General features: G+C 43.0%; 1 long non-coding RNA gene across 2 annotated transcripts; it reads right to left on the bottom strand.

Annotated features, from left to right (window-relative positions):
• Window positions 1-1,663: 1,663 nt before the first annotated feature.
• On the bottom strand, window positions 1,664-12,262 carry LOC105375712 (uncharacterized). 2 transcript variants are annotated; one of them, XR_928553.3, is made up of 3 exons: window positions 12,019-12,262; window positions 9,859-9,987; window positions 1,664-1,765 (listed from the first exon to the last, which is right to left on the bottom strand). It is a non-coding gene; the product is annotated as an uncharacterized LOC105375712 (long non-coding RNA). The 2 variants fall into 2 exon arrangements; XR_928552.1 differs by lacking the exon at window positions 1,664-1,765 and adding an exon at window positions 9,228-9,329.
• Between the last annotated feature and the right edge of the window lie 944 nt (window positions 12,263-13,206).

Genomic DNA, 13,206 nt, shown 5'->3' with positions numbered 1-13,206 from the left:
TAGTCAATAACTCTGGAGGAGAGGAGGACCTTGGGAGTAAGATTTGGGCACAAACTTCATCCCAAACCTAAGCCCCTTCCTTAGGTTTAATATCATCCTCTTTTTCCATTCCTTCACAAATGCAGCTGAGGGGACACCAAACCCCACCGAGGACTCAATGTTCGAAGAACGGGGTTTCAGTTCCAGCCTTGCCATTAATTCGACTCTAATTTAGAGAGGAGACTTGGGTGCATCATTTGATGACCCTCATATCTGTTTTTCTATTACCCGACAGGGTTTAGTTGCAGCCAACAGAAACAACTCTAGCAATTTTTAATCAGGAAGGGAATTAGGCACTCAAAAAATCCTGGGAGGGCTGGAGGAGTGGGCTGGGTCTTCCAGAGTGACTTCCAGAACAGTGCCACAGCATCAGCCCACTTGGGGAGCTGCCGCTGCTGCCACAGTCCCGAAGCGGGAAAATCAGGAAGCAGACATGGCAAATGGTACATCCAGGAATACAACGTCCCTGCTGTGATCCATGGGTTGGGAGAAGGCCACGGCAGCTATTGCCTCCAGAAGAGTGCTGCACCTGCCAGGTCCACTTTCGCAGAACACAGACCCCCTACCATGAAATCAGCAACTGGACACTGGGACCTCTGCCACTGTTACTGCAGGAAAACCCAGGGCCCCCGTGAACCAGCCGGTCAACAGCAGCATTGGACAGACCCAAGTTGAGACCTTTACCTTCGACACACTTTCTGAATCTCATGCAACTGTTTATGTTTGGCCAACCTAAATCCTATTTGCATTTTAACTGCAAGAGATTATGGGAAATACCTCTTTAAGTTTTTCAGTCTTTCAGTTTGGGAAGGCACTCTAGGGTAATGGGCAGGCTAGGATAGTGGGGGTTTGCCAGCAACCAATAAACATACATTTAAATCAAAAGCCAGATTGTCTGTGTGTGTGTATGTGTGTGTGTGCATGCACATGTATGCATGGTTTTACGATGTTTTACAAAACTATATTAACTTTACTAGTGTAATGCACTCTAGCCTGTTCTATTCTATTCTATTCTATTCTATTCTATTCTATTCTATTCTATTCTATTCTATTCTATTCTATTCTATTTTCTATTCTATTCTATTCTATTCTATTCTATTCTATTCTATTCTATTCTATTCTATTCTATTCTATTCTATTCTATTCTATTCTATTCTATTCTAATTCTTTCATCCATTCATTGGGTTCCATTCTGTCCCATTCCATTTTATTTCATGTTTTTAAAAAGCTTGTTGTGATAATAGACTTTTAAGATCTACTAAGTATTTGTAACTTCAAGTTTGACAAACCCTGTATTAGAAGAAGGGTGGTTTCTGGGCCCCAGTGCACCATATTCATTGCACATGAGCTGCCCTGGAAAGGTTTTTGTACACTGCAGAGGTTTAGCTCTGTAAGAAGTCACTGACCTGGGTCCTATTTCCCAGAGAAACTCCCCGCTTCTCACAAGTTGCTGTGATAATTTAATATGACAAATTACTGGATGAGTTAATTAGTTGGTCTGCCATTCTTCTCAAGCAGTGTATAGGAATTTTCACAGGTCTCCTCCCATTAATTCCTTACTCCAATTCAGTGTTCTTAACTGGGGGGCTTAATGGAAATGGAAGGGCATTTCTGATCCTGTTGATCTCATTCTGGAGGAGTTCACCTACGATGTCTGTGTCGAGGACTCTTCTTCCTTGCCACCAGGTAGTTGCTGAAGCTGGGCTTCTATATGGATCTCTGATACCTGCAATTGGAAGATGTTTTACTTGTGAATCTTTTTACGACATGGGACTTCTCACTCTACCAGCAAATGCTCAGGCCACACATATAATAATGCAGCCCTCATGGTGTTTCCTAGTGAGGGGCAAACTGCCTTCAGCATCACTAACCTGGCTTTGGAGATATATATATATATGTGTATGTGTGTGTGTGTGTGTATGTATGTGTATATATATTTTTATATATATATATATATATATAGAGAGAGAGAGAGAGAGAGAGAGAGAGAGAGAGAGAGAGAGAGAGGCCATAATTCTGATGTCCGTACTGTTCTAAATCTAAATATCTCTTTATTATAAGATTTATTTCTCTTCATCTGCTGATTCACACATTAACCAAACTTTTCCTCCTGCTTATTCATGATTTCTAGGTATAATATTTAAAATTAGTAACTAATCTTTCCCTCCATCTAGTAAACTCCTATTCATCCCTCAAAACACCAACTCAAATTTCACATCGTCTGTAAAGCTCTGATTCTCCTGGGCATAGCTGGCCCCTCCTGCCGGCATCAGTAACTACACATCTTCACTGTAGTTCTTATTGCATCTTATAATTTGTTCTGTCCTCCTCTTACATTAATTATCTTGAATACAGAACTATGTGATTTTCATTTTCGTGTCTTCAGTGCTTGGTCCTCAAATAAATGTTGAATAAGTGAACACACAAATAACTATTCTGATAGTCTCTGTTTTCATACCTGTTTGAATTTTGTTAAAATAATTTATTTCTGCATATAGCATTACAAATGTTAAATAGAAAACAACTAGGCTTTTTAATCACAAAACCATTTTTTGAAATCCCATAATTCAATCAATTTTAAAAAAAGGAGGAGATGCAAAAAGGAAGAAGACAGATTCTTCTTCTCTGGAAACCTGCTAGCAGTGGAGACCACAAATAACCATAGACTTTATTGAGCATTTATCATGAACCAGACTCTAGACTGGATGCTTTTCAGGCTTTACTTTTCATTCTGATGATCGCCTGTCTTGGTAGGCATTACTGTCTTCATTTGGCAGGTGAAAAACATGAGCACCAGAGAATCTGAGTGCCAACAGCATCATACTTCCTGGCGAAAGTGGTAGGGAGGCATGGGCTACTTTTAAAAACATAGATCTATCCCAATTCGTGCCACAACTTTAAATCTTGACTCTCAGAGAAAGCATTTAAAAAATGTGTCTGAATCATCAGCCTGGCCAACATGGTGAAACCCCATCTCTACTAAAAATACAAAAATCAGCAGGGCGTGGTGGCAGGCACCTGTAATCCCAGCTACTCTGGAGGCTGAGGCACAAGAATTGCTTGAACCAGGGAGGCGGAGGTTGCAGTGAGCCGAGATCGTGCACTGCACTCCAGCCTGAGTGACAGAGCGAGACTCTGTCTCACACACACACACACACACACACACACACACAAAAGTGTCTGAATCATAACAGCAAAAAATAATATGGGACTTGAGTTAGCTACACAGGTGGTACAATATAAGTCATGTGTGTATTTATTCTTAGATAGGGTTAAATATTGCCAATTTTTTGTTTTTATTTTTGGTTATGATAAAAATTTGAGGCATATGCACACTATGACCCCACGGATGGTGAGAGACCCATCTTCTCCATGCCTGATTCATTCCCCTTCTGTGTGAGCCCTCTGTCTTCACTCCCTGCCAGGTTTGTTTTTCCCGTTAGTCTCTGATGGAAACAACTAGTTACCTCCTCATATTCAGCTCCCCTTCTTTCTTGACCATAAGGACCCCGATTTTCGGCTGAGCAGATTGCCATCAGCTAACAGACTACATTCTCCAGCCTTCCTTGTAGATGGGTAAAGCTACCTGACTATGTTTTGGCCAATAAGATAAAGTGGAAGTGTTGGTGAAAAATGTAGGAAATGTGTTTAAAGGAAGAAAGGAGGTCCCTTCTTCTGTCCTCTATCCTGTTGTTTGGAACATGGATGTGATGGCTGGAGCTCTAGCAGTCATCTTGAATCAAAAGATAGTGGAGTGGAAAGGTGAATGGAATCTAGGTCCTTGTTGACTTTGTGGAACCACTGTCTCAGCTCTGAACTGTCTACCTCTGGACTTCTTTCTTTCATGAGAGAATAAAATTGAGTGTCTTTAAGCCATTGTTAATTTGAGTTTCCTTCACAGGTGGCCATACCTAATCTTAACTGACGTAATTCTCAATGGCTCACCAGTGATTAGAACTTTCATGTGTCAGACTCCAAGGTGCTTGTTAGGTCCATGTGCTAAGTGCCTGGAGAAAGGTCTGACACAGAGTTGAGGGGGCTTAGAAGAGGGGACACTATCTCCTTCTGACGTGGCAGGACGTCTTCAAGCTTGCTAGCATACCTTGGCTCTGGTTTCAAGGTGAGCTCTTGGCCTTGAGGCTCTAATACTGCAACTTGGACTATAAAAGATGTGTTCCACTCACTCAGTTCTCTGTGGGGGCCTAGCCAGGGATGCCCTTACTCTACTTGCTCAGTTTTTGGCTACCTCACAGCTTTCTCTTGTCCAAGAGCAGTGTATGGAAATGTAACTCCTCACCTGAGACTCCGTAAGTAGAATAAGCCAATTGTGCTGAGAGACACTGTCTCCTAGGATGCTGGTAACCTGTGGTCATAAATGACAGAATGGGAGCTACAGAATCCAAGAGGTCGAAGCTAGAAGAGACTTTAGAGATACCTAATCCAGCTAATTCATTTGGCAGATGAGGAAATGAGGTTTTTAGAAGTAGCTTGACACAACTAGAAAGGGATGAAGCTGTGACAATTTTCCAGTTTGTTTTTCTTTCCCAAACATGGTACCTGATCCTGCCTGGTGTATTAGTCCAGATTTCCCAAGAAGCAGATGCCGAGACAGGATTAAGTGTGCGAGAATTTTCTTAGGGGAAAGGCCTGTGTTAGAAAAAATGGAGAGGGAGATGGAACATCTTGGGGCAGTTGGCAGACGATGAAACAAGTTTGCCCACAGGTGAAGGAGAGAGGGGAGGAAAGTCAGGTAGAAGCATCCTACGTAGTTGTGCAGCCTAAGGAAGGCCCATTACGGCTGCTGGTGAGTCTCTGAACCACAGTTGGCTATCACAGGAGTTCGGTGTTGCCAAGAAATAGATTGGCCGTGGTATTCCTGATACCAGAACAGCCCGTGAGAAGCATGGTCTCTACACAAATGCAGCAGTGGATTTCAGAGTTGGGTCCCTTGGTCAATCACACTTCCCAGTTAGGGGTTGCATTTTTGGTAGTTGCCACACCTGACATTGATCCTCTGCCAACCCTTTTATGCCCTGGAATATATTTTATAATTGTATGCATCTAATTTAGTGTTTTGATAGACTAGTAGGCAGACAGGTATATGAGGAGTTTCTTAGTTATGAATGTTTACTTAGGCTACCTTTTTGTGTGAGGCCTGACATGGCTGAATCTTCCATTTCTTGGGACTTACAGTGGATTTTGAGCCATGCAGTTGAAGCAATCAAGGTGCCCTTTGATGGGGGAGAAGTCCACTCATCGAATCTGATAGACATGGACCCAAATGTGAACCATGAAATGAAAGCAATTGTGCATTACCTGTCTTTTCCACATTTGTTTGGGTGCAAGTCAACATAATTGCTGGTTAAACTCACCGACATTTTCTAGAAATTGTATTAAGACCTTATGCAAATTCCAACTGCAAGCATGTGGCTAACTTTTGACAAAGATTATTTGCTTGACCACACTTTAGTCAGGCTCCTGAGCTTCTGCTAGGTCCATCTGTGCACTTCCTTATAAAATCTAATTTTAGCAAGAACTCTGCTAAATCAGTTTAGCAAGAACTCTGCTAAATCAGTTTAGCAAGAACATTCATCCTTTTGATATCTGCTCACTCTTGATATCTGATCAGATTTTTCATCCTCCACCATCCCACAGGTAATGAAGGATCACCTTGGCCTGTCTTCAGAAAGAATTCTGGTAGGTCAGTTTAGCCAGAATCTTTCTTACCGCAGTGTTATCTCAGTAATTTTCCACCTACTGAAAAACTGGGTGCTCTTTGGCTATAAACTTCCACTTGCCCATGCTGTATTCAGAGTTGAGCCCAATCTCTCTCTCCCGCTGCAGAATCCTGTTGTATTGGTTCCAATACCTATTGCAATGGTCCTGAATAAAGTCTACCTTACTGTGCTTTAACAAGAATCATTGAATAATGTTTTACTTTAACACTTTTCATCATTGGATTTCCATATGTTTCTCTACTTGCTCCTTTAAGCCAGGATGCAAGGTAGATGGGAAATATAAACATGTGTTGTGTCCTGTGCCATCTGATCCTCGCATGGCATCCACAAAGTACTGCAGAACACCTGACAGAATGGGGAGACCCATGACTCTCAGGAGGCTGTGGGCATTTCTTCTGCTCAGCAGCTATCCAGCATTCTCCAGAACCAGAAATCATGTACGCTGAGCATGGCCACCCAGTGGAAATGATAAAGGCCTTTGCTTGGGACTGGGCCAGATGGGAAGAAGCAAATCCTGTAACAGCAGGACCTGCCCACCTAAGTCCCTGTGTTCTGTTCCCTCATGCTGGTGTTCATATTGCCAGTAGGAAGGATTCATTTACTTTATATTCAGTCAACATTTATAGCACACCACATCTGCGGGGCCATAGAGATGACTAGGACGTGGTTTTTATCCTCAGGTAGTTCACAATGTGCTGGGTTGATGGAGGCCTAAGCAGAGAAGTAAATTCAGTGTGCAGAGCAACGTGAGCAGAGAGAGTGCAAGAGCCATCAAGAAAGAGAATATGCTGCCATAAACTTGAGGAAGAGCACCTGAGTCAGACTGCAGGGCTCAGGAGAGACTTTCTGGAATAAGCCACATCTGAGTCTTAAAGGAAAAGCAGAAGTTCACCAGTGAAGGATGGGATGGGAAGGAGACTCACAGCCTTTAGAAAAACAGCCTTGTGTGTGCAGGAAATGACAGGAGGTAGTGTGGTCCTCGGACCATTAGGGGTCCCTGAGGTTTTCTCAGGGGGTTCACGAGGTCTCCTTCTCATTCTCTTCTGGGTTTACAGTGGAGTTTTCCAAGTGTGATATCGCAACAAATTAAACGCAGAAGCAGATCTGAGAATCTAGCTGTCTGTTATTTGGCCAAACATTTAAGAGATTTACAAAAATATAAAACAAAACTGCTCTTTTTAGTAATGTTTTCTTTTGGAAAATATAGCTGGTTTTCGTAAAATATATGTTAAAATTTAACATGTAATTGGTCTATTGCTATTAGTTTAAAATAGATAAAATACTTTTTTAATTTCTCAGTTTAAATTTCTAAAACGGTGATGAACCAATGGATATAACTTATATAAACAATAGTTCTTTACAATCCTCAGTAAGTTTTTGACAGTGTGAAGAGGTAACATTACATTGCAAAAAAGCCTTTGCATGTGTTCTATAGGGTCTTGAGATGGGGAGATTTTCTCGGATTCTACAGGCCCAGGGAGTCCCAAGATTCTTGTAAAAGGAAGGCAAGAGGGTCAAAGTCAGAGAAGGGATGGGACCATGGAAACAGGGATCTGAGTGATGTGCTTTGAAGATGGAGAAATAGGCCAAGAGGCAAGAAATACAAGCTGCCTCTAGAAGCTGGAAAAGGCAAGAAATGATTTCTCCCCCGGAGTCTCCCAAAAAAACGCAGCCTTGCTGCCATCTTGATTTTAGCCCATAAAACCCATTTCCAGACTTCTTTTTTTTTTTTTGAGATGGAGTCTCGCTCTCGCTCTCTTGCCCAGGCTGGAGTGCAATGGCGCAATCTCGGCTCACAGCAACCTACGCCTCCCAGGTTCAAGCGATTCTCCTACCTCAGCCTCCTGTGTAGCTGGGATTACAGGCACCAGCCACCATGCCCAGCTAATTTTTGTATTTTTGGTAGAGATGGGGTTTCGCCATGTTGGCCAGCCTGTTCTCGAACTCCTGCCCTCAGGTGATCCACCCACCTAATTCTTCCAAAGTGCTGGGATTGTAGCTGTGAGTTTGTGCTATTTTAAGCTATTAAAGGTTGCAGTAATTTGTTACAGTAGCAATAAGAAACTAACACACCTCTTCCCTAACTTGATCAACATCGAGTCCCTCAAATAATCCACTACTGGCAGGCTCACAATCAAGCTCAATTCCTCTCAAGTATGTCTCCTAGCCCATCTCTGCTTATAACTAGTTCCTTCTTCATGGATTCTGGTGGATGAGAGCTTTTGATGTTGCATGTGTATATTGCATGTGGTAACCAAACAAAGATAGGCAGTTTGGGGCCCTCTATACCCTCACATTTTACTCTACCACTCCCAGAGTTATTTACATTTCTATTTTGCACTTATTTCATTTTAATAATAAAGTTATAGTCGTTGAGAAATTTATAATTTATACATTTATTTAACAATTACTTATTGAGCCTCTACTATACTCTAGGCAGTGTTCTAGACACTGAGGATAGCATGATGAAGAAGACAGATATGGCCCTGCTGTCATGGGGTTACATTCTACTGGGCAAGAGAGACACTAAACCAGCAGGTCGATACACAGCCCACATCATAGCAGATTGTGATGAAGTTCTGGGAAGGAAATGAGTGTAATGAGGTAATTGAGGGTAAATCGGGATGTCCTTATGAACAAGTGGCCAGAGAAGGCCAGGGAAGGCAGGTAGAATTTAAGTCAAAACCTGAAGTCTTCAAAAGAATCAGTTACTTGAGGCGCTGGAGAGCTTTGGTATCAGTATTCCAGGCAGAGGGAATAGCAAGTACAAAAAGCTGCAAGCTGGAAAGAGCTTGAGGTGTTTGAAGAACCGAAAGGAGACCAATGTGGCTTCAGCTAGTGAGAAAGGAGGTGCATGATGGAGAGAGAGAAGCCCATGGCTGGTTGATGATGACCTTAGATGATGGAGGGGAAGAACAAGGAGTTTGGATTTTATTTTAAGTGCAATGGGAAGCCACTGAGATTTATTCACACTGGAGACAGAGATTATCTGAGTTTGTTTTAAAATATGACCATGGCTGGGCACAGTGGCTCATGCCTATAATCCCAGCACTTTGGGAGGCTGAGGTGGAAGGACTGCCTGAGGCTAAGAGTTTGAAACCAGCCTGGGTAACATAGTGAGACTCTGCATCTTCCCCTTGTCTCTCCCCCCGTCTCTCCCCTGCCACACAAATATGACCCTGGCTGGCTGCTTTGTGCAGAATGGATCATGGGAAAACAGGAGTGGCAGTAGGGAGACACATTCAGCTTGCTTCTAGTAGTCCAGGGAAAGATAATGGTGGTCGGATTAGGAGAGTGACCAGAGAGATGGATATAAATTATCCAGCTCATGACATCCTTTGGAGAATGTGCTTATGGGTCTAGGTGACAGATTGGATGTGTATATGGAAAGGTAGGGGGAGGGAGGGATTGAGCAAAAGGCAATGATTTAGGATGACTCCTAGGTTTTTGGATTCATGATGGTTTCTTTTACTGAGATGGAAGAGGGACAGATCTTGGAAGCAGAGCAGGAAATCATGAGTTTTCCATTGGAAACGCTGAATTTGTAGCTGCCTGCAAGAGACACAAGTGGAGATGTCAGGTAGTCAGTGGGATAAATGACTCTAGCTCAGAGTGGGAGGTCAGGGCTAAGAGTAAATTTGGGAGTCATAAAGACTTTGAGGCCATTTTGAGCCCAGCAGCCTGAATGAGATCACCAAGAAAGAGATGGTGGAGACTAAGAAGCGATGCAGAAACAGAGCTGAGTGTGCTACATTTAGAATTCGGACAGGTGTGTTGAAAACGTGCCAGGCTACGTGCTGGTGCTTGGAATGCATTATTTTACTCAACTATTTAGTTTCATCTTGTTCCACATTGTTATTGGTCATCTCTATGCTTTGCTTCTCAAACATGACCATAATTAGGTAATCTAGCCCACACTTCTTAAGTATTCCTGTTGGCTGAATTGTACAATGGAGGAGTGTCTTAAGACTGAATTTTCACACAAGAGAGCTACTCCCTGGGACTTACTGTGAAAAGAAAGAAACAAGACAGGTAGCTGGGGAAGAGAGTGAGGCATTTGACTGAGAGAAATCCTCCTCACCTCACTTGACAGGAATGTTTGGCAACGAACCCAGTTCCATGCAGAAGGAAAGCCAGTAGCTTAATTGTGACTGGAGACATTTGGGGCATGCTGCCTTCTTCTGAATATTTGGCTAATTCAGTTACTGACCTTAAACAAGTACAGAAACAAAGGATCAGTATGGTGTGTGTGACAGATCAAAAAGGAGGAATTTCTGCCTTTCCTTATCTCGCCTCCACTTTCTCCTCAATCAAGATGGCACCTATGAATATAACTATATAACTTTGCCCTCAAGTTAATCCCATAGATCAGAAATCATGGAACAAGTCTCCTTGGAATCCAAATTATAAGTGAAATTGGCAGTTTACCTTGCAAGGAAACCTATATAGTGATTAACTCAACACGTGAACTTTGCTGACATCTTGGTCCAGCCAGAAGTGTCATGTGCTGACATCCGTAAAAGGCAAGAGAATGGACATTGACATCCTTAATGGACATTGACAAACCTAAATGTGGATGGAGTGCTTCTGGTAATAAACACCGGACTTTCGCCACCCTTTCTTCCTTCCTATATAAAGCCTTTAAAATATTTATACTTGTGTGCCATCTTAATAGGAAGAAATACACGTTCTATATTACAGACCAGGACATTTCTGAATTCTGTATATTTTCCATTTTTTTCCTTCCAGCAAAGTCTGTTCTCATCCATAGCAGACCCATGTTTTAGCCTTTTTTTCTTGGTGGCTGATGACCTTGGGCAGGTCATTTAGGCTTGCTGGGCCTCAGTTTCTTCATCAGTTAAAAAAATGGGAGACCAAGAAGGATGATGTAAATGTTAGTGAATATTCCAGAACTCTGTGGAGATTCTGTAAAAATTGTCTACACAAGGCCAAGCACGTTGGCTCACGCCTGTAATACCAGCACTTTGGGAGGCCAAGGTGGGTGGATCATCTGAGGTCAGGAGTTCGAGACCAGCCTGGCCAACATGGTGAAACCCCGTCTCTACTAAAAATACAAAAATTAGCTGGGCATGGTGGTGGGTACCTGTAATCCCCAGCTACTCGGGAGGCTGAGGCAGAATTGCTTGAACCCGGGAGGCGGAGGTTGCAGTGAGCTGAGAGCATGTCACTGCACTCTAGCCTGGGGGACAAGAGTGAAACTCTGCCTCAAAAAAAAAAAAGTCTACACAAATGAATGGAGAGTCCTTATAAAGGATATGGAAAGCCACTTGGAGGTTCGAGAGATCAGGTTGTTCTGGATCATCAGACAAAATATTCTATCAGGAAGTTGGTTTAGTTTGCAAGCTCTATATTGTGTTTATAAACAGTAAATTAGAAAATGTCCTCCAAATCAATTCTTTTAATTGAAATGATAGAGAAATAGCAAAGTTTGCAAAAGGATGTGAATTATTTCTGTAGCCAAGTTAGAGTTAGCTATTTTCATGTATTCTTTGAGATGTCATATGGAATGACAAATTTGGAGCACTTATTCAATAAACATTTATTGAGCACTGACTATATGCCACTGGGCTAAGCACTGGAGATTTTAAAAAGCTGAAAAGTTAGACAAGTTCCCTGCCCTCACAGAGGTCACAGCCTGGTGGAAGATACAGACAAAAAGAGAGCCAATCATGAACAATCTGGGAAGTGCTTCTGGAGAGGAAATAAGAGAAGGGTGCCTGATACCAATGTGGAGGTGAGCATGTCTGCTGGGGCTGCCATCACAAATACTACAGACCGGGTGGCTTAAACAACAGACATTTATTTTCTCACAGTTCTGGAGGCTAGAAGTCTGAGATCAAGGTGCCAGCTGATTCTGTTCTTGGTGAGGACTCTATTCCTGGCTTGTAGGTGGTGCCTTCTCATCGTGCCCTCTCAGAGAGACAGAGTGCATGAGAGCTCTGGTGTCTCTTCTTATAAGGTCACTAATCCTATCATAAAGGCCATATCCAACCCTAATTATCTCCCAAAGGCCCCATCTCCAAATAACATGACATGGGGCTTTGAGCTCAACATATGAATCTGGGGGAACACAACTTAGTCCATAGCAAGAGGCTTCTGGAGGAAGTGAAGTATAAGCTCCAACCTCCTGAAGGAGTTTACTGGGGAGAGCGGATTAGTATGGGGAGAGGTTGGGGCAAGAAGCAAGAAATATTTCAGTTGAGCATCCTAGATGACTTACTGTTGTCCTACTTTCTGGGCTTTTAAGCAGGATGTTCTTACTACCTGGGAGAGCCCTGCTTCCCAGCCTCCGCCTGATGACTTCTGTGCCTCTGCACTCAGATCGCCTGCTCACTTCCATCAATGTGCCCCCATCCCCAGGCAGAGATCATCTCATTGTCCTCCATGCTCCCATAGTAAATTTTGGTGCCTCTCTGGAGAACTCATTTTGATCCATTGTATCTCATATTTTCTTACATACAACTGTTTCCATATCATCTCATGAAGGAGGTTAGGGTCTTAGTTTTTTGGTGCCACCCCAGTAGTGCCTAGCACTGTGACATCATACACTGATCATTTAGCTTTTGCCTAGCTAGCAACAAACCATCCCCCAGACTTACTGGCTTAAAACAACAAATCTTTTATATAGCTGAGGGGTCCATGGGTTGTCTGGGAGGTCCCTCTGGTTTAGGCAAGGGAAGGTGATCTTTGCTGGTCTCTTTTAAGTGTGTGTGTGGCTAGCAGGCAGGCAGGATAGTAGCCGTCAGTCAGCCTCATGCGCACGTCTGGCTGTTGGCAGTCTGTAAACGGGGGCACCTTGACTTTCCTCAGTGTGGACCTCTGTGATGCAGCCTCTGCTTATGTTTTCGATCCTTTGGCCATGAGCCTTCTGGACCAACCTTCCTCATTTGTCTATTTCCCCTCAGAGGGCAGGGACCACGTCTGGTTTTTCTGCTGTTTTGGTCAGTGTTGTTCGACTCTTATTGAATAAATAAATGAAGAGTCTTTGTGCAGCTGGCCAAAATAAGCAACCCTTGCTGACGGGGATAAGACTGAGAACTCCACGTGCCATTTCACACCTCTGGGACAAACGACCTGCTCCACGTGCCTCCACACCCCTAGTCCACCTCTTCCTTCAATGCTCAGTTCAGGGGTCATCTCTTTGGAAGCTTTTCCTTATTCCTTAGCCAAATTAATCAGGCTGTCTTCTGTGTTTCCACAGCACTTTGGACAAACCTCTATTTTAACAAGAGTCACATGATTCCGAATATTGTTTCTGGGTCTCATAACCCAACGACGAAGTCTTGGAGGTGGTATTTTAAGGTGGAAGCTCCTCTTAACATGCCAACTGCATGCCTGTGTCTGCATCCTCTGTTCAATCAGTTACTACCATCTGACTTTGGGTTTTCCTCTATAAAATTAAGTTCAT

The sequence above is a fragment of the Homo sapiens genome, chromosome 8 (assembly GCF_000001405.40).
Source record: "Homo sapiens chromosome 8, GRCh38.p14 Primary Assembly".
Lineage (NCBI taxonomy): Eukaryota > Metazoa > Chordata > Mammalia > Primates > Hominidae > Homo > Homo sapiens.
Note: the sequence above shows the minus strand (reverse complement) of the source record. Positions and strands in the feature narration are given on the sequence as shown.